Source organism: Homo sapiens, chromosome 13, assembly GCF_000001405.40.
Source record: "Homo sapiens chromosome 13, GRCh38.p14 Primary Assembly".
NCBI classification, from domain to species: domain Eukaryota; kingdom Metazoa; phylum Chordata; class Mammalia; order Primates; family Hominidae; genus Homo; species Homo sapiens.
The window spans coordinates 34,669,612-34,694,915 of record NC_000013.11 but is presented as its reverse complement, the minus strand read 5'-3'; the positions used below and the strand labels follow the sequence as shown (position 1 = coordinate 34,694,915).

The window sequence follows — 25,304 nt, the reverse complement described above, 5'->3', positions numbered from 1 at the left end:
ATCTGGAGTTTTCTTATGAAAAGGAAAACCAGAAAACATAATTAGGGTCCAGGGCATTAAAAAAAAACTACAGTTATTTCCCCATGATCACCACAATTTCTAATGTTATTAGTTTCACATAAAGTGATTATTTTGTTTTTGTTACTATGAATTCTGTATCACAAAAAATTAGATTAAAAATTAAAATCTACTATGTGAATTGTTTCTAAATGCATGTGGCTTGGGCCAGGGTTTCATCTTGTCCAAGATGAATGGAGTTGATGAAGGCTTTCATATTTTAACGTGAACAAACCAGGGTAGAACATTCAGAGTTAGAGATAAACGTCACATAATGCTTAGTACTCTAAAACCAGTGATTCGTAATAGCGAATTAAGGCTTTCATTTTTAAGAGTGGCCTATTAGTGCACAAATCCCTCAGTAAAATGATGCATTATACAACAAACCATTAATATCTTAGGGGGGATTCACTTATCAGATTATTTTCCAACATTAGAGTTGGCTGAGATGGAATAGTATACATAACTGGTGAATTTTGAAAAGAGCCTAAGAGAGAAGGTCAACCAGAAGTCTCATGTTGTATGCATGTCCTTACCCTCTTGCATTATTCTATATGCTGAAAACAGGTATTTTGTTCATATTGGGGTTTCCTGCAATATCCCCCTTCTTCCATAAAATATCGAAAATCCTTTAGTGCTAACAATCAGAAATGGACATGACTTACATGATTTTGGTCTCATGTAGAAAGATTTTTGAACTTCTTGTTTTAGGTAGGGGTTGACTTTATTTTGAGCAATTAACACTTTGTTATAATTATTTATTTACTTATTTCTTTCCCTACCCAACTGTGAACCTCTGTGAGCCCCTAGTTGGCAGGGAACATGATGCATCTAGCTCAACACTTAACCTATACTAGATGTTTAATAAACATTTTTCCACATAAATTTATTAAAAGATATGCAACATTCAGTCAAAATTATTACACTCTTGAGTTTTCTTTTCCACTGAAAAGGTCTTCAGTGGCCAAAAAAATACACTGGCTTCTAAAATACTCGTGTTCAAAATGTCTGCCCAGAATAAGTCGTCTCATTTTTAAGCAGGCGGCTTAGTCATTCTTCAAGAAAACAGCTTTATGATGTCATATAAATATAGTCAGAGCTTGATTGTCCAGTCTTTTGAAATGTGATGAATTGTCTCTTTCCTTCAGGGATGAATAAATCATTTCAACCTTATAAATCTTAGTAATCAGTTTTCTTTCTAGTTTCAAGAATTTCCATGAGTAGCTCACATGGAGCCCATCAAACCAAGATAGTAGGAGAGAAATAGGGAAAAATAGAAAGTGAGAGCTAAAGTGAAAACTGAGAAAAACGTTGGCAAGATTTTGTGTGTGCTCGGCTGACATGCATGCAACATGGTTTCTGGGCCATCTTTGTCACATGGGGCCTTTGGAAATAGACTCCCAGAGGAAAGATCTTAACTGGTGAGCATTAAGTAGAATGCTGGTTACCAGAAAGGGGTGCTGTTTGGCTGTTACCATTGACAGGGCTCTGGTTGAGTGACTTCTTGGGAGCCTTCATCTTCATCCCTGGGAGGAACAACCTAAAATTTACCTGATGAATGAGCTGCCCATCTCCCCAAACATATTTACATATTAGCCATGTTGATATCTGCTTTTGGTGTCATGTGGACTTGGGTGCAGAAAAGTATTTTCATGCAATTGCATGCAATTTGAATGCAAAGGAAGGTTGGATTTTTTTATTTTTTGGTATCCTTTTGTAACTGTATGCTGGCTGCTGCAAGGTTTATTTCTCAGAAAGGGAAAAAATGAAAGCTATAAAGTACATTTTCTCTAAATATTATAATGATAGATAAATATTCGCTTTGATGCAGTATTCAAATTCACATGACACCAAAAAGTATTTGAATTTTTCTTATAAGAGATTACTTAGGTGTTTTCAGTGGTCACTGGTTTATTTATGACAATATAAGAATTTAAATTTAAGTAAATTCTAAAGAAAATTATTTTCTTGCAGATAGAAGTTTTTTGTTATATGCTGTTATATACTAAAGTAATATGCTTTTATAATTCAACAACATTCATTGAAAATATACTTATTAAGAGTCTATTATGTGTCACACCCAATCCTGGGCATTGGAGATTGAGATGATGCTATGATTTGAATGTTCGTGACCCCCACCCCTCCAAATTCATATGTTGGAACCTAAGACCCAAAGTGATATTATTAAAAGGTGAGGCGTTTAAGAGGTGATTAAATCATGAAGGCAGAGCCCTCATGAATGGGATTAATGACCCTTTAAAAGGGCTGAAGGGAATTAGCTAGGCCCCTTTTAGCTTCTGCCCTGCCTCCTTGTGAGGACACAGCATTTGTCTCCTCTGGAGGATGCAGCAACAGGCGCCGTGTTGGAAGCAAAGAAAGGGCCCTCATCAGACACCACATCAGCCAGTTATTGGACTGTGAACTTCCCGGCCTCCTAGAACTGTGAGAAATAATTTTCCATTCTTTATAAATTACCCAGTCTTAGGTATTTTGTTACAGCCACACAAAGACAGATGCCAATAGGAAAGATTATGTTTCTGCTGTCCTGGAATTGAAGTATTATGGAAATCACAAATGAACATTTAACAATCCTAATAATATTGTCCATTTTGTTCACTGCTCTATCCTCACACTTTCAGTAGTGATGGATGTATAACTGGTGCTCAGGAGGTGTTCATTAAGCGAATATTATGAGGCCAGTGTTATGATGGTGGAAATGCAAGGGTGCCATAGGGAGTCAGGGATGTTTTCTTGAAGGAAGCCTTATCTCCAGTCTGCCCTGAATGTTAAGTTAGAGCAGCCAAATGACCTAAAACAGCAAAAACAAAAACACTTTTTATATAATATCAACACTTTTTCTGTGCTTACATGGAATTTTCAAAATTACTTAGTTATGTCATAGTTTTTTTGTAGGATCAACAAGCAGAATCTAAATTTCCAGCCATAAATAAATTTATACAAGAAGATATCAACCAAACAGCATATCATTAGAGCTAACAGATTGATTTAAAAAGATTCTGACATGCAGTTTAGTAAATTTGTAAAATGAATGATACAGTTTTATTTGCCATGTTCTTCTCTTTCTCCCACACTTATTGTGATAAACTTTGTTTCAGTTTACTCCAAGCACAGGGCTGAAACCAATATAAGAAATAATTGGATATTTTTGCTGGATATCATCAGCAAACTTTCACATCTTTTTGAGAGTTTTAGGTAAATGGTAAAAAGGATTAAAAATTATGTGAGGGTAAATGTCAGTAGAAAACTGTCCTAAGGGTAAGTTTCAACCAATTAGCCATGTTTATTGAGTTTCTAGTGTGGAGAGTGATTAGAAGCCCAGATTCTGGGGCCAAGCTGCCTGGGTTGAATTTCAGTCTCTCCATGTAGTAAGTGGATTCCTCAGCTGTGCCTTCCATTTCTTCCTTAGAAGAATGACAACAATTGTACTTGTTTTGAGGATTAAATGAATCAACAGGTGGATTGCCTTAGAATAGTGCCTGGAACATTGTAAGAACTATGTATTAATCATTATCATTTTTTCCTATATTTTGTATGCACGATTATGTGCCATATGTAAGATGTACATTCCAGCATGTACAACTTTGTCTTGAAGATCATAATCTAGTTGAGGAGAAAAAAACTAAAATACATGAAATAACTAAACAACCATAAGTGTTAAATGCTGTGATATAAATTTTAAGGGCAATTGAAGTTGAGGTAAGGGGAAAGATCTGTGTGGGTTAATAGTAATGTAGAAAGTAAAGAATTTATACAGTAAAACAATAGTGAGCATCAATGGCAACCTAAATTACAATATATTCTCAGCATTATTAAAATATCGATATGGGGGTCGGGTGTGGTGGCTCATGCCTGTAATTCCAGCACTTTGGGAGGCTGAGGTGGGAGGATCACTTGAGGCCAGGAGTTTAAGACTACCCTGGGTAATGTAGGGAGATCCCATCTCTACTAAAAATTTAGAAAAAAAAAAAATTAGCTGGAACTGGTGGCATGTGTCTGTAGTCCCAGCTACTTGAGAGGCTGATGCAGGAGGATCATTTTAGCCCAGGAGATCATGCCACTGCACTCCAGCCTGGGCAATAGAGCAAGACGCTATCTTTAAAAATATTTTTTTAAAATAGATGTGCTTTAAAAGAAAACACTTCCTCTGGACCAATAAGAAGTCTCAATATTCCTTCATTATTTATGTCTTTAAAAAGTTATTTATTTATATAAATTTATGGGGCACATGTGCAATTTTGTTGTATGCATAGGTTGTGTAGTGGTCAAGTCAGGGCTTTTAGGGCATCCAGCACCTGAAAATAATGTACATTATATGCATTAACTAATTTATCATCATGCTCTTCCTATTTATGCTTTTAGTGAAAGTCTGACAATGCATGTGGTGGGTGTTGGAGAAACAGATGAATAAACACACTGTCTCTGCTCACAGTCCATGGAAGGGAGAGGCTGAGAAACAAGATGCTGTGGTATAAAGCCATGAGGAAGACTGTTGGTGTTTCTAGAGCATGAGGGAAAGCCAGGGGAGGGGCAGCAGGAGGAGAAGGGGATACAGAGATGGAGGCTCCATCAGTCTTTCAGATGGTCAAAGTCACAAAAGTGGAACCGTTCACCCAAAGGACACTGTCTAGCAGAGAGAAGAGAGCTGAGGAGGAGGTTGATGCATCTGGTATGCACCTCGTGCCCATATTGGCACAGTAGCAGCACAGAGTAACTGAATGAGAAAAATGAAGGCTCTTAAATATGAAGGCTTCATTTCTGACAGGAATCTTCCTCTTTAAAGAAAAACATTGGCCAGGCGCTGTAATCCCAACACTTTGGGAGGCCGAGGCGGACGGATCACGAGGTCAGGAGACCGAGACCTTCCAGGCTAACACGGTGAAACCCCGTCTCTACTAAAAATACAAAAAAATTAGCTGGGCGTGGTGGCGGGCGCCTGTAGTCCCAGCTACTTGGGAGGCTGGGGCAGGAGAATGGCGTGAACCTGGGAGGCGGAGCTTGCAGTGAGCCGTGAGCCGAGATCGTGCCACTGCACTTCAGCCTGGGCGGCAGAGCGAGACTCTGTCTAAAAAAAAAGAAAAAAAAGAAAGAAAGAAGAAAGAAAAACATTAAATTTTGAATCAGTAGACGTGGTAAATTATTGTTCCTAATTCTTCACCTCCTTTCCCTTATGGGATTGTACATCCATGCTTTTTTACCTTGTGATCTAGTTCCTCTTCCAGAGTGGGCAGGACATATTTCTTATCCCCACGAAAATTGGACGTGGCCATATAATTTGCCTGGCCTGATAGCATGCTAGGGGACGTAACATGAGCAGAGGCTTTAAATTTATTTCCATGTTTTAGCTTTTCTTCTTGGGCTTTTTTGATTCCTCATGAGAGAAGAATACCCCAGGTGTGGCTACACTTTTCAACCTGGACCCCAAAAAAGAGCAGCCTACAGCTGACTAGAAACTTGGAGTCCAGCTTTTCTCGGCTATGCCTAGCCTAGATCAGCAGAAGCCCAGTCAACCTACACACGTGAGCATGAAATTAATTGTTAGTTATTATAAGCACAGAGACTTTCAATTCATTTGTTACAAAGCAAAAACTGAATGCTATAGCTTATATAATCTGGAAGGTCATACTTGACTTCTATTCAAATTAGCCTTTGTTTTTAAATAAGATAAATACTTATTTCACTGTTATTGAGAATTGAATGTGACTATCTTCAGGCAATCTACTTCTTAGCATCAAGGTGCTCCTGACAGTGCAGGAAATTAACTCAGGCTAGTAGGGCTGGTAGAGTGAGAGAGAACTAACAGTCAACCAACCAACCACTCCCCTACTCTTTCAAGATTGTTCAGGTGAGGGAATGGGAATGACTAAGAGGTTAGGCAGAGTCTCTTTATTTTATTAATTTTAATTAGATAACTTAGCAACAATTTTTATTAAATACTCATATTCTTGCAAAACATTGATAAGTACAAAATCATAATTTAGAAAAATGTGTAATATAATTTAGAGTTTCAAAAAGACTATACTACTACATTTGGGAGAAGATTTTTTAAGATTATAGAGAAAATATTTCTTTTTTTTTCCTACTTCCTTTTTATTATTATTATTATTATTATTATTATACTTTAAGTTTTAGGGTACATGTGCACAATGTGCAGGTTAGTTACATATGTATACATGTGCCATGCTGGTGTGCTGCACCCACTAACTTGTCATTTAGCATTAGGTATATCTCCTAATGCTATCCCTGCCCCCTCCCCCAACCCCACAACAGTACCCAGTGTGTGATGTTTCCCTTCCTGTGTCCATGTGTTCTCATTGTTCAATTCCCATCTATGAGTGAGAACATGCGGTGTTTGGTTTTTTGTCCTTGCGATAGTTTACCGAGAATGATGATTTCCAATTTCATCCATGTCCCTACAAAGGACATGAACTCATCATTTTTTATGGCTGCATAGTATTCCATGGTGTATATGTGCCACATTTTCTTAATCCAGTCTATCGTTGTTGGACATTTGGGTTGGTTCCAAGTCTTTGCTATTGTGAATAGTGCCGCAGTAAACATACATGTGCATGTGTCTTTATAGCAGCATGATTTATAGTCCTTTGGGTATATACCCAGTAATGGGATGGCTGGGTCAAATGGTATTTCTAGTTCTAGATCCCTGAGGAATCGCCACACTGACTTCCACAATGGTTGAACTAGTTTACAGTCCCACCAACAGTGTAAAAGTGTTCCTATTTTAGAGAAAATATTTCTATGAAATAGTTATTTTTTAGTTCAAAATAGCAAACTTTAAGAAAAACAACTTTTCAGAAGTATATTTAGTATAATTATTCTAGTATAGTCACACATTTTTAAGTCAGTATTGACTATTCCCAGGAAACAGGAAGTAGTAACATTCTTTCTACTGTCAACATCCTACAACAAAAGAGACATTAAAGATGTCAGAAAGTAGTAGTTTATAGTATGTTTAATTAATCTTTAAAAATGTTAAGTATGTGAGGTGCTAGATATATTAATTAGCTTAATTTGATCATTCACAATGTATACATATATCAAAACATCATATTTTACACCCTAACTATATATAATTTTTGTCTAAGAAGTTTACTTTAATAAAGCTGAAAGTGGGCCGGGTGTGGTGGCTCATACCTATAATCCCAGCACTTTGGGAGGCCGAGGAGGGTGGATCACCAGAGGTCAGTAATTCAAGACAAGCCTGGCTAAGATGGCAAAACCCCGTCTCTACTAAAAATACCAAAATTATCTGGGCGTGGTGGCACATGCCTGTAATCCCTGCTACTCTGGAGGATGTGGCGGGAGAATAGCTTGAACCCGGAGGCAGAGGTTGCAGTGAGCCGAGATCTCACCACTGCACTCCAGCCTGAGTGACAGAGAGAGACTCTGTCTCAAAATAAATAAATTAAAAAAAAAAGCTGAAAGTGGGGGAGGACTGTATCATGTTTAAACCTTGATTTAATGCAGTTAATTCATTTACTACATAAAAATGTCTTGTTGACAGAACTTTTCCATGTAGTTTCCTAAAACAAGCCAAAGCCTATCTTTTTCAACTACTGATGAGAATTTCCTTTGCATCATGGACTAGCCTCTAGCTCAGTTGAATTCTTGCTCAGAAAGTTTTATGAAATGGAAGAACCATGACAGTGATGCCAACCAAAATTTTTTGTTCATAGACTTAAGATAAAGCCAGCTATTCATTGAAAGTCTACTGCAAATTCTCACAAATAAACATATATGCACACACGATTCAAAGCTTAACATAGCTCAACTCAGGTTTAGCTCATCAAATGTTGATGGACACATGAAAGGTAAGAGAGTTTCTTAATGTGATTTTAAATTCGATGTGGGAACAGAATAGCATAGTAGTTTAAAAAAAGGGCTTCTGGAGTAAATTTGCCTGGATTTTATCCCTAACTTCTCCTGTTTTTAACTGGGTGACCATTTTTAGACTTATCGGGACTTTATTTCCATGTCTGCTAAGTAGAGATAATAATATCACCTACACCAAAGCGTTGTTGAGAACATTAAATGAGCTAATTAATGCAAAGTACTTAAAACAGTGCCTGTCACATAGGAAATAGTAAATGTCGACTAATGCATTTGCAGGACAAATGACTAAAAGCTTAGAGACAAATCGAATATATCCAAAATGTTGTTCCAGTTTAGTTTCTATGCTTACTCCTAATTTATGTCTATTTTATTCAGATTCACTCCCTCTTAAATGAAAACCTGAGGTCCAGGTATGCTGGTAAATAGCCTACTTCAATTCAGGCCATGTTGTTTCCATTGAACTAGTTATTGGAAAAGCTGGAAACTTTTGTTTTCCAGAGCATTTTGAAATTTGGAATTGCATATAAGCACTGGAGATCTGTAGAGTATTTTGTGATTTCCATTGGTTTGCTATTATCTTCAGTGAATTCCAACACATGGGCATTATTTGTATGGAACATAGTACCAAATGGAAAGTACATTCTGTCTTCATTTTTTATCATCCCGAGAACAATATCATGGTTATGGTAGAGACACTTGGTGCTCACTGAATTTCCATGTACTTCCCTGCACTTCCCGGCCTCCTTTGCCCTTGGTTTGGGGCAATCAACTGTGAGCAGAAGAGATGTGAATCACTTCCTGGCCGAGGCAGTTAAGAGGTGTGTGCCTCCTCCATTTCTCTCTTCCCCTGTTGTGGCAACTTTGGAAGACATGACTTGAGATGGAAGTGCCAGAAGATGAAGGGAACCTAGAGATATCTAACTGACTAAATGTAGAGCCTGGAAATCTGCATAAGACTTGACTTATGTGAGAACTATTTATGTTGTCACTAAGATTTTGAGTTTGTCTGTTGTAGCAGCCGCATCAGTTACTGAGAATAACAAAACAATGGTCAGCTGAGAATGAGCTCAGTTAAAGCCAAATAGTGATCCTTCTAATGACGATGGAGAAGGAAAACAGTGAGTGAAACTTGTAACCCTAATTAAAGACAGGGTTGGATGTGCTTTTATTTCTGCATGGAATTGCATGTAAACTATAGTCCAATAACCAAAATAATTTTAAAAGAAGTTTTCATCTTTTTCTTGGATCTTTTGAAGAGCATTAAATGAAATCCTGTTTATCTCCTCAAAGAGTTCTTAAAAGCTCCTTTTCTTTCCTTCTAAATTCTGATATGCCTTATAGCAGTGGACTGTGAGGTGACATCTGTCATGAAGATCATACCCCTCTGGTGGCTTTTTTGGTGTCAAAGTGAGGGGACAGTACCGTATTAGTTTTCCCAGCATAGCTCACCAAATATTTACCTAGACATTTACTCTCCTCACTGTCCTTCATAGTCACCTGGAAGCCATATTATCTTTGCTTATGTCACTATACACATGTGTGCACACACTTATACATGCAGATCTAGCTATGAATTATTTCATGACCTCAGTGGTGTAATGTATGTGCTTGCCTATCTATCTATCTATCATCTGATGTGATATATATCACACTGAGATCATGCAGTGATTCAATAAAACTGCTACCTAGGACACATTTACATTTAAAACAACTTCTGGTCCCAATTAATGCCAAGAATACCCATATCTCTTCACAAGCAGTGAAGCATAGTGTAGGTTAAACACTTAAAATCCTTCATTCCATTGTAATCAATGAGAAAAAATGCATAAGGCTATATATATGAGCCTTATACACTTTGAGACACAGCCTGGCTCTGTCACACAGGCTGGAGTGCAGTGGCATGATCTTGGCTCACTGCAACCTCCACCTCCCAGGCTCAAGCAATCCTCCCACCTCAGCTTCCCAAGTAGCTGGGTGCTGTAGGTGAGTAGGCATGCCCTACCATGGCCAGCTAATTTTTGTATTTTTTGTAAAGATAGGGTTTTGCTGTGTTGCCCAGGCTAGTCTCGAACTCCTAAGCTCAAGCAGTCTGCCCACCTCGGCCTCCCAAAGTGCTGGGATTACAGGCAAGAGCCACTATACCCGGCCAAGGCTATTATTAAAACCAGGAGAAAATGGATCTAGACTTCCTTTGCCATTCAGGAGCATATAAAGAGAGTGTAAGCCAGAGGGGTCAGGAGACCCAACCATGTGCCCTCTCACCTTGAGCTCCTGATAACTGCTTCTGGATCCCATTAGTAAGTTCCTGCTCACATCCTCAGAGACAGTGCCAACTCACCAGCTCTCTTTCTCTGTTCCTATTTCCGGGGTAAGAGTGTATAGCGTTATCCCTCCTGTGACATCCTTGCTTGTTAAGCATTGAAGGGAGGTAAAATCACATATAACCTCACATAAAGATAGAAACAAATTCCACATGCTTAAGAAGGAACATGACTTTCTTCATGGACAAAATATATTTAAGACAGTGAGGGGCAATGGATGAACCTAAAAGAAATTATGCTATGTGAATAAGCCAGATACAAAAGGACAAATATTGTATGATTCCTCTTCTGTGAAGTGCCTGGAATAGTCAAATTCATGGGGACAGAAAGTAGAAAGTCAAATTCATGGGGACAGAAAGTAGAAAGTCAAATTCATGGGGACAGAAAGTAGAAAATCAAATTCATGGGGACAGAAAGTAGACCAGTGGCTTGGGGGAAGGAGGAACGGGAGTTATTGTTTAATAGTTGCAGTTTCAGTGTGGAAAGATAAGTTCTGATGTTAGATGATGGTGATGGTTGCACAATAATGTGAAAGTATTTAATGCCACTCAAGTGTATGAAAAATGGTTTAAATGGCAAATTTTGTATTATGTATGTTTTACCCTCCACAAAAAAATACAACAAAGGACAGAACTAACCTGTTTAAAATATGATGAAAACTCTGGAGTTGGAACAAATTACTTCCCCTCAGTCACCAAAGTCCATGCTATGGGATTGCAGAGGGGGTTGCTTCATTTCCTCTGTTGCATCTAGGTGCCAATTACAGAGGTGACCCACATATGCTATTAGACAGGGATCAATGGAAAGACGGAGTGCTCTTCTCACTATTAAACACTGATCTCGAAGAAGAAAAAGTTCCAACACAGATATATCATTTTCCTTTGTTTATTTCCTATCTAAATAAATTAGGAGGCTAAATGAGATGAGAAATATTTCATTGATAGGATATTAATCATTAGATAATAGAGACCATGAAAACAGCTCATCGAAATTCATTAATGTTTGATTAATCCCAGTTTGGGGTAAGATTCTTTTGATTTCAAAAATAATGGCCTGTTTCAGTATCTGGTAGCATACTGCTGCACTGCATAAAAAACACTGGGAGATTTAATGCTTTAAATAGTATAGTGTTTCCAGTTTAGGTTTACAGGTGTTCTAGGGGTTGATTCTCATTATCTTGGGGTGCCTTCTGCACTTCTGTCTGTAATGGGATTTTTCATGAGGTTCAGTGAATCATAGATTCTAGTATCAAAGAGTTACAATTCTGAAGTCTAGGCAGGAAAACTCAGTATTATCTTTTCTTGAAAAATTTGCTGGGCCCCAAAAGTGGAAGCCTGTCAGAATAAAACTTAGCTGGCTTTTCTAGCTTCTCCAGTATGTCTTGTGGACAATTGTCTACCCCTCAGCCCGTCCTGCTACTTTCCTCAGCTGGAATGTTTTCCCAGTGTCTACCTGCCTGTTTAAATTCTAACCGTCCCTCAAGACCTGTTGGAAACCCTGTCAGCCACATCCCCTTTCCTCAGTAGCCCAGCCCCCCTGGGATGTTCTTGTATTTTCTGAATACTAATTTAGATTTAGCATTCATTGAACTTGCACATTTGATTTTTTTTCATTTTTTTTTCAGAAATAGGTGTGGTAGCCACTTTCCAAGGTGACCCCCAATAATCTCCACCTCCTGATTTTCACACACTTTGTAGTCCCTTCCATATTTTATCAGGGTTGGTCTGTGTGGCCAACAGTATGTGGCAGAAGTAATGGTATGTCCCTTCTGATATTAGGTTACAAAAAGACTGTGGCTTGAGTGAGACTTTGTCTCAAAAAAAAAAAAAAAAAAAAAAAAAAAAAACCTGTAGCTTCTATCTTGGGTGTGCTGGCTCACTCTCTCTCTCTTTCTCCCTCCCCCACTCACTTTCTCTTAGATCACTCTCCCAGAGGAAAGTCAACTGCCATGTCAGGAGACCACTTAGACAAACTATTGATAGGTAAGGAGCTGAGGTCTCCCAGTCAGCCAGGGAGGAACTGAAGCCTGACAACAACTTTGTGACTGAGATTGGAAGCAGGTGGAGCCTTTGAATGAGACTGCCGCTCCAGCCAATAGCCGCACTGCAGCCTTCTCAGACATCTTGAGCCAGATTAACCCAGTTAAGCTGCTCCTCAATTCCTGGCCTATAGGAACCATAAGGTAATGAAAGTTGGTTATTTTAAGCCTCTAAATTTGAATAATTTTTTAGGTAGCATTAGATATTGAATACAGTACCTTATCTCTCCAGCTAGACTACAATCCTTGAAGAAGGATGTCTAGCTTCCAGTTGATTCTTCAGGATGTCTGTACATATCCATTGGATTGAAGAGAAAGGTAGACAGATGGATAGCTATTTTTATCTACCTCCTTGAACTTTTTCACCGATACTAACCATTCTGAACAATGTTCTGTGAGGTGGGTAAAAGAAAATTGATAATACTAATCCTGTTTCAATATGAGTGGAATCAGTTGAAGAAAATACTTTTAACATGGAGCTAAAACTTGGCAGGGGCTGATGGCAAGGCCCTGAATTTACAATATAATCCACTAATGTAATTTTTTTCAAATCTTTTTATTCCACACACTTTCTGGAAGTCCTCTGGTGGCCTCTTCAGCTGTGGTGCCCTCTAGTTCTTTGCAGGCACCGCCCTCGTGCACCTGCCGTGCACCTGCTCTGTGGAGTTCTACTGCTCCAGGTTCCAACACCCAGCTATCCTCAGCAGCACCACACCACACATTAAAAAATGCCTGAGCGTGACCCATTTTATCCATCACTTCTTGTTTATTTGTCACAGGCACTATGGTGTCAGATAAAGATAACATAACAAGGCTGTTACAAAAGGAGAAGGGGAATATACCATCATATAGAAATGTTACAAACTAAAAATTGAAGAGTACTCTCTCTGCCTCTTTATCATCAATCACTTTGCTCCAAGGTGCTTTGGCAAGAGAGATATTTTGGGACAAACAGTAACCAATATGAGGAACACGTGTTGATTTGCTGCATCTATGAGATATAACTAATAACAGATGGATGTTATTTATAAACTCTTACATATTTATCCTAGTTCTTTTGAACCTGTTTCTATTCTGGGTCTATCAGCTGTTGCTGTTTGGATAATTAATTACACAACCAAACTCGATTTAAAATTTTGAAATATACATTTCCTATAGGGTCTGTGTATTAAATTTTATTGTTCGTGCTGTTAAATATTTTATATGCTGCATACAGCCCAAGGCTCTTGTGAGCACACACACACACACGCACACACACACACACAGACACACACACACAGTATGTTGATTGGATCAGTTTTTTAAACTTCATTTAAGTTTTTCTTTAGTTAAAATCCTTAAAAAATATTCCCCACTCCTAATATGACCATATCTGTTTCAGCAACAACAGAACCAATCAAAGAATGTGGCCTGGATTATCATGCACAGCTTTTAAATTTATAAGTTGCTCAGAATCATTTTTGAATGATTATTCATAATATGGTTCAGAAAAGAAAACTGTTGAATCAGTTAAGCTTAATTGGACCCAAGACAGCATTCCACTCCTAGCTTCTCTCTCTATAGAGGAATAGAACATTTTTGTAACCAATAAGCAAAGGGACTATTAAAACAGCAGACCTGTACTATCCTGAAGATCAAGGAAGGGAGGTGGGTTGGAGGGAGGGAAGGAGAGGGAGAAGGGGAGAAAGGGTTTTGTTTGTATGATTACATGTGAATATTGCTACAATCAGTACAGTTGAGCTTAAATTCCCCTTACCAACTCTGAATTCAAGTCTATCTGGTTAGGATAGAGTGAGTTTGGTTGGAAGAGGAGTATTTAAATGAAAGTCATAGAAAGCCAGGAAGGGTTTACCCAGTTCTAACTCGTACTTCTTTTTTCCAGCTGAAAAGCTCTCAGATTCTAAATTTCTGCCCTTTTTGAAATTATCAAAGAATGTCAAAGGAATTGTTTTTACATTCATCTTTATATCCAAATGGCTGTGAAAGAACCTAAGTGGAGCCATTATCAATGGAAATGGAGTTTTCTATTCAGCAAGAGTTCAAAGCTCTAAATAATCATTAAAATTGGCAGTGGGATAAATAAAAAAAACATATAGATAAAAACAAAGTGTAATGTATTAAACGTATTTGTTAAAAATAATTTTAGTCTCTGAAGGCAAGGTGATGACTAAACAAAAAAATAATAATTTTAGTCATACTCCAAAAAAATTCTGCATCCATAAAATTCATTGCTGGAAAAGCAATTCTTTTTTTTTTTTTTTTTTTTTTTTGAGACGGAGTCTCGCTCTGTTGCCCAGGCTGGAGTGCAGTGGCGCGATCTCTGCTCACTGCAAGCTCTGCCTCCCAGGTTCACCCCATTCTCCTGCCTCAGCCTCCCGAGTAGCTGGGACTACAGGTGCCCACCACCGTGCCCAGCTAATTTTTTGTATTTTTAATAGAGACGGGGTTTCACCGTGGTCTCGATCTCCTGATCTCGTGATCTGCCCACCTTGGCCTCCCAAAGTGCTGGGATTAGAGGCAGGAGCCACCGTGCCCTGCCGGAAAAGCAATTCTTAATATGGTCTTAACACTGATGTGCTTTTTTTAAAAAAATAAGAAGTTAAGCAGCATTATAGATGGTCAGAGTTAGGCTACACAAGGAAACAAATGGATATTTAAAAATTGGCCAATGGCCTCAACTCTATTTCTGGCACTTGTAGTATAAGAGTATCTTTGAATTATTCCTAGCAGGCCAGAGTCCTTGAATTATTGATGTTGAGTGATGTGGAGATAGACTGAGGCTCTACATAGGTTCAAATACTCTCTCTGTTCATGTCTACATGCCTTTTCTACTTAGTGATTTCTTAGCTAGGATCCTTTATAATTCTATGATTCTGAGATTCCCTCGTCCTTTAATTATCTATGTTTTAAATGTTCTTTTGTAAAATTAATTAGTTTTTCTATTGTTTGTTCCTCAAAACATGTAGATATTTAGTGCATTTATTCTTAAATATTTGCTGCTACAATATTAATACATATTTGTGTTATGAAGATGATCTTACTGTATCTGATTGGCCTCAGTACATACCTGGTAGCCAGGAGATGGTGCATCTCTGTGAGGTCCCTTTTTGAGGACTTCCAAAGAGGCAGTCCATAAGAGGGTAAGGGTATAGGCTTGAGAATGACCATGCCTGGGAGAAGGGTGGAAGTTAGGGGTTAAGAGCATGGATTCTGGAATCAGACTGTCTGGGTTCAATGTAAGTCAAGCTCCACCAATTATGTGTTGGATGATCTTGTGTATGTTACTTAAACTATTTGTGTCACAGTTCTCAAATATATATGGGAAATTAATAATAGTATCTACCTTATAGAATTGTTGTGAGATGACATACGTAAAATTTAGAGCAATATCTTGGCATACTTGCAGTCAGTCACTATTTGTTATTATAGTAACTATTACCATGAAAAGGTTCAAATTCCAGCTTTACCACATACCAGTACGATTTTGTGTAATGCCTTAACCTTTCAGTTTGTCCATCTCTCAAAGAAGGATTATAAAATCTATCTCACAGGGTTGTAATGGGAATTAATGGCATATCATTAAAAAGTGCCTAACAGAACTTAGAACTTGAAGTATGTAGGTGCTTAGTTAGTGTATACACTCCATTATTCTAACATGTTCAGTGGTTTATTTCTCAGAGTCCTGATCAGTGACGCTTGAGAGTGAGATTGAACTTGAGCTTTATAGCGGGGAGGTGCATCAGCTTTGAGAATCCTAGGCAAAGTTTTACTAGAGCTGAGGAAACTCAGAGGGAAACCCCTTCCCCCACCTAACTTCTTCCAGCCTGGTATAAGTCAGAATGCTAGTCCCAAAGATGGCGGGTGGCTAGACTATTGGGAGAGGTAAATTTCTCATCTCCCGTTGGAAGTTTTTTAAGAGTTGTTGAACTGGTGATTTTCCAGAAAAGTGGTCCTGAAGATGTACTCTAAGGACTACTGGGAGTCCTTAAGAACCTTTTGGGGTTCTGTGAACTCCAAAGTACTTTTATGATAATATTAAGAGGTTATTTGCTTTAATACAGTTTAATTTATAAATCAGACACAATAAGAGATTAACAATAATAACTAATAATAAAATAGAACAATTATAACAATATGCCAGCATCACTACTCTTGCATGTTGAAGCCATTATTAAGTACAATAAAGGTGACAAACATGAGTTTTGCAATATCATGACAGTAGATCTGATAACCCAGGCAGCTACTGAGTGCTGCAAGGGTGGGTAGCATAGATGATGTGGATATGCTGGACAAAGGAATGATTCATATCCCAGGCAGGATGGAATGAGACAGTGCGATATTTCATCATGCTACTCAGAGTAGTGGACAATGTCAAACATTTGAATTGTTTATTTATGGAATTTTCCATTCAGTATTTTGGGATCATGGTTGACCTTGGGTAAATGAAACGGTGGAAAGTGAAACTGGGTAAGGGGGATCTGCTGTATCAATAGATAAAACAACACCGAGTTTTATATAACTCACATAAAAAAAATCCCAGCTCTTAAAAAAAAAGCCGAGCTCTTAAAAAAATAATAATAATAATTTTTAAAGATGTAAACAGGTCATGAGACCAAAACGTTTGAGGTTCACTAACCTGGGCAAAGGGGACCATCCTATCTGAGAATTAACCGGATTCTGTCTTTAGGTATTTGATGTTAGAAACTGCCTAGAATACTCATCTGTTTCCCTGCATCTTTGCCTTCCCTTTTCCAAACTCTTCTGCAGCCCACCCTAGGTCTGTTGACACATTTTCCTCCTACAAATGGTAATACAGTTGATCACTTTGTAGTTTTCTTTGACTGCCATCATTTTTAGGCTTTCCTGAGTCTCTAGTGTGTTTGATTGGATTTCAGCGACATTCTGTTATTCCTGACTGGATTCTGGACACATCCTGTTTCTCTAATCATTACGTTTACAATGTACCTCTCAGGGTGGATCATTTGGTTTAGGTTTCTCATGGTTAGTGCCAGAGTGCATTCTTTTTTTAATTCAGTCTTTCAAATTTTAGGTCATTTTAAAAGCGTTCCTACTGCTGCACTTATTGTGCCAAATATATAAATAATAAAAGCTTAAAAAGCAATATGGAATTTGTTAAGAGTGGCCAAGTTAAATTTGGTGGCTGGTCTTTCCTATCCTGAATTGTTATAATCATAAAAGTCTGATAGGCTTATTCAGATACATGAAAGGACATCTGGAAAACAAAGCCGTGTGACTCTTCATTTGAAGTGCTTATGAAAAGCTATTAAAATGAATTAATTTGAAGAGCTTGGAAATATACCAATATTGTATGAGGCATTCATGCAAATTAATATGGGCCCAAGGTCCTGGGTCAAATTGGGTAAGGCCCAAAAGAAGTCTGATTTTGAACAAGTAAGAATGTTAATAAATCTTTAAAAACTATCTACATTTACCGACAGCAGGTGCTTTGTATTTTTAGATGCTTCTTTGCCCTTACCTACAAATTAGAAAGACTAGTAATTAATAAGGAGGAGGGAGGGATAAATAGGCAGAGCACAGAGGATTTTTAGTGCTGTGAATCTACTCTGTATGATACTCTAATGGTAAACACATGACATTATACATTTTTCCAAATATACAGAATGAACAACACCAAGAATGAAACTTAATGCTGATTTGGGTGATAATGATGTGTTAATGTAGGTTCTGGTGGGGGAGGCTGTGGTTGGTGGTGGAGTGGAGGGATTATGCATGTGTCAGGCAGGGGATATATGGGAAGTCTCTGTACCTACCACTCAATTTTGCCATGAACCTAAAACTACTCTAAACCATCGTTCTGAGCAAACTATCGCAAGGACAGAAAACCAAACACTGCATGTTCTCACTCATAGGTGGAACAATGAGAACACTTGGACACAGGGTGGGGAACATCACACACCAGGGCCTGTCATGGGGTAGGGGGAGGGGGGATGGATAGCATTAGGTGATATACCTAATGTAAATGACGAGTTAATGGGTGCAGCATACCAACATGGCACATGTATACATATGTAACAAACGTGCACGTTGTGCACGTGTACCCTAGAACTTAAAGTATAATAAAAAAAATTTTAAAAAGTCTATGAAAAACATAAGAAGCCTGTTAAGTTCTGAATTTTTATAGGCTTTGTATTCTACACTACAAAGTTTAACACTTAATTATATACAACCATATTTTATACTCAAATTAACTTATACTTTCAGTCTTTTTTTAAATATTAGACTACAAGTTCAAAGGTTTTCTAGTTTCAGCTCTGGTTACTAGTTGTACAAATCTCAATTTTTAACAATGTAAAGTGGAAATAATCCTTTCACTTATCAGATCATTGTGAACATCAAATTATTCATAAACAATAAAGTGTTCTAAAGTTAAAAATCTTGTTAAAGACTTCTTGGGAGAGCACTTTCTTGGAATTGGGTTTAAATCCAGATTTTACTAATTACTAGTTTATCGGCTATGTATTTTAGATAAGTCATTTAGCCTCTCTGAGCCTCAGTTACTTCATTGGTTTAAAAATAACCCTCAAAAAAAGAACCCAGTTCTCTCTTGAATTTCTCCCAACTACTTCTAGGGGTGCTTACAGAGGTGTCAAGGGAACCCCATGAAATTTGCTGTTGCTTATCCAGGGCTCCTCTCATTTCCCTCCTGTACCTCTCTACCTCCATGTGGTGATGTCTCCCATGACTCCAGCAGCTGCTGATACATTATCTCTTGTTGAGTTGCAAATTGCCTGAACATTTTGTGGTTTAAACAATAAACCATCTCACGGAGCCTGTGGGTCAGGGATTCAGAGGTGGCAGTGTAGCTGGGAAGTTCTGGCTCAGAGCCTTTCATGAGGTTGCAGTTAGTATGTTGACTGGGGATGCAGTCATCTGGAGGTTCGACTGGGCTGGAGGGTCTGCTTCCAAGATGGTTCACTCACATGGCTGTTGGCAGAAGGCTTCAGTTCAACAGTGTGTTGGAGCTGGCTGATGCCTGCTTCTGAGAGCCGGGTGTTAAATTTCAGGAATTTTGTAAGCCAATTGTTAAACACATCCATTATCAAAAATTAAATCATTATCCATTAAAAATTAAATCATTAAATCCATTATCAAAAAGTTAATTTAAGTAAATTATATTAAAAGCAAAACTAGTAAATACTTGTTAAAACCTTCAGCAGAATTAAATTTAAAGAAGTTTAATTGAGCAATGAAATGATTCACAAATCAGGCAGTCCCCAGAATCACAGCAGATTCAGAGAGACTCCAGGGGTGCCTCATGGTCAGAACAAATTTATAGACCCAAAAAGTAAAGTGAGGTACAGAAATGGGAAGTGATATACAGAAACAGCTGGATTGGTTTCAGCTCAGTGTTTGCCTTGTTTGAACAGAGTTTGAACAGCCAGCGGTGTAAGAGCCATTGAAGTACTGCTGCTGGGATTGGCCAAGACTCAGCTATTGTTTCAGGCACATACTCCTAAGTTAGGTGTTCAATCTTGTCTAACTATTAAGTTAGGTTGCAGTTTGTCTACAAGGACTCAAATATAGAAGTACAGAGTCCTTCTCAGGCCATATTTAGTTTACTTTAACGTACTCAAAACTCATCACTTCCTAATAAATTTACGTGTTTTTCCTTTATTTGTGCTTCTGTGGTTATTTATGTGTATTGTAACTGCCCAATGGGCTCACCTTGCCTGCTGCCTAGACAGAGCCGATTACCAAGACAGGGGAATTGTAATGGATAAAGAATAATTAATGCAGAGGACAGCTGTGAGGGAGATTGGAGTTTTATTATTACTCAAATCAGTCTCCCTGAGCATTAGGGGATCAGAGTTTTTAAAGATAATTTGGCAAGTAGGGGCTCGGGAAGTGGGGAGTGCTGATTGGTCAGGTTGGAGATGGAATCATAGTGGGTGGATGTGAGGTTTTCTTGCTGTCCTCTGTTCCTGGGTGGGATCACAGAACTGCTTGATCCAGATTACCAGTCTGGGTGGTGAAAGCTGATTCATCCAGTGCAGGGTCTGCAAAATATCTCAAGCATTGATCTTAGGTTTTACAATAGAGATGTTATCTCCAGGATCAATTTGGGGACATTCAGACACTTGCAGCCAGAGGCTGCATGACCCCTAAATCCTAATTTCTAATCTTGTAGAGCTAATTTGTTAGACCTACAAAGGCAGACTGGTCCCCAGGTCAGAAAAGGGTCTTTTTGGGTAAAGACTATTATCAATTTTGTTTCAGAGTCAAACTATAAGCTAAATTCCTTCCCAAGGTTAGTTCAGCCTATGCCCGGGAATGTATGTGTACAGCGTAAAGGTTAGAAGCAAGATGGAGTCAGTTAGATCTGATCTCTTTCACTGTCATAATTTCCTCAGTTATACTTTTTGCGAAGGCAGTTTCATTGTATCCACATGAGGGAGATTTTACATAGTTGTGTTCTATTGCACATCTCATTCCATTTCTGCATTCAGTGACCTTAAACCACTGCCTTGAAATCAGCCACAGTGGGAGTATTTACACTGTGGATATCAGCAAATACAACAAATCAGAACTTGATCTATTCTTTTATTGATTTTTAGACTTTAGAAAGTGATGGAGAAATATTAATAATGCAGATTAAACTAAAAATAGGTCACATCAGTAGCTCTTACTTTGTGAATGACACAAAAACTTGAAGAAATATTCTTCCTGTATTTGTAGCTACTATCCAGTTCAGCAAAGAAATCTTTCATGCTACTGACGAATGAAGCTACAACATACATCTTTGTTACTTCACTTTTTATTTGTGTAACTGAAAATATTAACCAACGTTTATGTCAGAAATTCAGCAAACATAATCAATGAAAATATTCTGTGAGAATCAATTAGCCATAGGTTATTTAAAATAAAGACTATAATTTATTTCATTATTTTAAAAAATTGTTTCCCATACATCTTTTATAATGGTAACATTACCAGTAAACACACACAGACACACATATGAGTGTGTGTGTGTGTACACACTTTTTTAAAGAAGAGGCAAATGTTAAATGTTTATCAGCACACTACTAATTCAATTCCTCTCCACATATCCTCTCCATAGGGCTACTTGAGTATCCTTACAATATAGAATCTGCTTTCTCTAGAACAGTGATCCAAGAGACAGTGTAAAGTTAGAAGCTGCAATGTCTTTGTGACCTAGCTTGGAAGTCCTACTGTCATTTCTGCAGTATCTTAGTGATTACATAAGTGAGCTCTGTTGGATGCTGGAGAAGACTACACAAGGATGGAAATTCTAAGTTGGGAAACATTGGGGAACATTTTGGAAGCTGACTACTATAGTCTACCTCCTGGATTCCAGTGATTCATACCTATCCCACGTGCAAAATATACTTGCACTCCTCCCAAGTCTCCCAAAAGTCTCATCCTATTATAGCCTCAGCTCAAAGTCCAGATTTCATCATATAAATCAGGCACAGATATAGACATGGGTCCTTAGGTATAGTTTTTCAAATAGAGCTCTGTGAGTACAGCTGATCTTGATCTGAACACCCCTGGGAAATAGAGACAAGCTATCTTCCTCTAAAATGCAACAGACAGTGGTGGGATGGGCATAAGATAACTACAAAAGACACTCCTGTTCAAAAATGTAGAAAGCAGCAGGCATATGAGAGTCAATGGTCTGAAGTCGAAATGGGCATGTTTTGGATATTGCTTGATTGGGATGCAGTCCTATTTCTTCCCCACTGTTCTTGGATCTGCCCACTGGGCTCTTGGTACTTGTCTCTGAGTCATTCGTGCATTTGCATGAAAGGACTATCAGCTGTTTTTGCAGCTGTGTCGTTTTCACAGCCTACTTCCTACCAGTAGAATTTTGGGGATCCAAAGTCCTTATTTTTGGTTCCTTTTGTAATGTTTCTTTCCCTTTCTGTTCAAAGTAGTGGTGTCTGTGCCACTATAATTGTCTTAAATATTTGTGGGCACCTTATTAGACAAAAGCCCTGTCTGAAAATCTTTCTGAGACAAGTCCTTCTTTAACTTGAGTTTCTGCTGAGATTGTTAAAGGAATTTACCCTTGAGCTTCTGAGAAACTTCATGGTTTGACTGAGCAGTTTTCTGTGGCACCATGTTAGATTTAGAAAAGGTCTTAAGGATTTATAGCCACACCTTCAACTTTATTACAAGACTATGTTTTCTGGGGAGTACCTTGGATTGTATCTTTGCCTGGAAGCAATTTCATAATTTTATAATTGTTAGTCATCTGGAGATGTTGGGGATTTTCAGAATCAGAAATTCCTGTTTCGTTTTTGTCTAAAAGTCTTTCATTAAGAACAAAGTTTCAGTTAGACAGGATGAATAAGTTCTGGATATCTACTGTACAGTGTGGTGACTCTAGTTAATAATGCACTGTACAGTTGAAAATTGCTAAGAGAGTAGACCTTAAATGTTATCACCACGAAACTATGATAAGTATGTGAGGTGATGAATATATTAATTAGCTTGATTAAATCATTGTATACATATATCAAAACATTACATTGTACACCATTTTTATTTGTTAATTATACCTTAAAAAGCTGGGGGTAGGGGAAGAGGACGAGTCTTTCCTTTAGCTTCTCTTTGTCTATATTTTGCAATATGCAGCAAGAAGCACACAAGTAGCACCTTCTACACTCCGTCTTGGAATCTCCTTTGCTAGGTCATGCCACTCATGTGGTACATTTTCTACTTTTCGCATAACTGCAGGAAATAGTGTTGTTAAACTTTCTGATGCTAGATAACAAGCATCCCCTTTCCCCCGCTTTTCACTAACTTTTTCCTATATCTCCTTTAAGCCTCTATTCATACCTTTCTCAAATACAAATGGCTTCTAATAACAGTGTTTTTACATGTGTTTGGTGTTTCATAATACTTTTCCTAAAGGCTTTCCATCTTCTGCTTACTGCCTTTTCCAAAGCCACATTCATATTTTGAGTTATTTATTTTTCCAGTACCTCAATTCCAAGTACTAAAGTACCCAAGTCTGTATTAGTTATCTATTGCTATATAACAATGTACTCCAAAACTTATAAACTTAAATTAATAAACACTGATCATTTCACTTTTTTTTGGTAAGAAATTCAGAAAGCTAGACTGAATGGTTCTGACTTAAAATCACTCATGAGGTTGATGTTAAATTTTTGGCTTGGGATGAAGGCTTGACTAGGGCTAGAAACTCTGCTTCCAAGATGGCTCACTTTCAAGGTTGTTGGCAGAAAACCTCAATTTGTCACTGGCTTTTTGGCAGGAGCTCTCAGCTCCTTACCACATGTCCTATCATAGGACTGTTTGAGTGTTCATGGCAGCTGACTTGTCACAGAGCAAGTGATCCAAGAGAGAGAAGGAAAAAAAATTATCTCTGCAATGTCTTTTATGACCTAGCCTGAGAAGTCATACACTAACATTTCCACAATATTCTGCTGGTTTCATAGGTCAACCTTACTTATGGAAGGGGATTGCATTATGGAACGAAAACCAGGAGGTGATCACTGCTATCTTAGAGGCTGGCTACTGTTGATGTCAAAATCAGCATCTATGGCACAGATGTTCCCTGAAGATGTCTTGCTCCTGGGGATTCCTGAATATACCAGAGCTGTAAGTGCTGCCCTCCATGCCTGGGCTGAGGCTGAGAATTCCTGAGGTTGAGACTGCTGATGTCTCATATATCCACAGTATACATAAGGCACTTAGCACACTACCTGGGGCCAAATAAGCATGGCAAAAATATTTTTTCTTGCTATTCTTGTTTTATAGAACACGCATCATTTTCCAGCACAGAAGAAGTAGCAGTCTCTGGCACAAATATAGGGGATAATCTTGCCGTCACCATGCCCATTAAAATTATAGTTAAAAAAATCTAGACCCTTGGGTTTCACTGGTCCCCTTTGGTTGAGTCCCTGGGGGAGCTGAGCCTGTGAGCTATCAGAAAAATGAATGCTGCTTCCTTACCATCCAGCGACTGGCCTCTTATCCTTGAACCATATTTCTGCCCCTCCCATCTCCTCTTTTTTCTCCTTTTTAATCGTGTCACCTCTCATCTCCAGCTAGAGTCCCTTTAAACCTTCATTCAAGTAATGCCTGCAGCCTCTGCTTTAACTCCTGGCTTTCTGGCACATGCCTGAATCATACTGTGCTTAAGCTGAGACACTACCTGCTAAAAACACTAGAAGCAACTAAAACCCTGGGGGACAAGGTGAAAATTAAGTTTGGAATACAAAACTCTTAGGTGACCAGACAAGCAATGCATGTTGTCAACCTCGAGGGCTGTGTGTTAGTCAGGGTTCGCTAGAGGGACAGAACTAATAAGGTATATATATATATAAATATGTTAATATAGGATTAACTTATATATATAATAGGATATGTTATAGTATATATATGTTAATACTTAATAAACTCCCCATTATATATGTATAGTATTATTAAGTATTATTAATAATACTATATATATTAATTTAGTTTATTAAGTATTAACTCACACTATCACAGGGTGCCACAATAGGCCATCTGCAAGCTGAGGAGAAAGGAGAGCCAGTCCGCGTCCCAAAACTAAAGAACTTGGAGTCTGATGTTCGAGGGCAGGAAGCATCCAGCATGGGAGAAAGATGTAGGCTGCGAGGCTAGGCCAGATGAGTCTTTTCATGTTTTTCTGCCTGCTTTATATTCTAGCCACTCTGGTAGCTGATTAGATGATTAGACCCACCCAGATTAAGGGTGAGTCTGCCTTTCCCGGTCCACTGACTCAAATGTTAATCTCCTTTGGCAACACCCTCACAGACACACCCAGGATCAATACTTTGCATCCTTCAATCCAATCAAGTTGATACTCAGTATTAACCGTCACAGGCTGGTTCCATCTTTTCTCATCTATAGCTCACTTTTGAGGAACCATAATCAATCTCAAAACACAAATGTTACCATTGTTGGATATTATTTTAAAAATTAAATTCATTTGAGGCAAAAGATTGCCTTGAAAGTGTCTA

General features: G+C 38.2%; 1 long non-coding RNA gene across 1 annotated transcript; it reads left to right on the top strand.

The window, feature by feature from the left end:
• Positions 1-5,484: 5,484 nt before the first annotated feature.
• Positions 5,485-24,489, top strand: LOC105370159 (uncharacterized). Its single transcript, XR_941849.2, has 3 exons — positions 5,485-5,594; positions 12,167-12,429; positions 23,754-24,489. It is a non-coding gene; the product is annotated as an uncharacterized LOC105370159 (long non-coding RNA).
• The last annotated feature ends 815 nt before the right edge of the window (positions 24,490-25,304 follow it).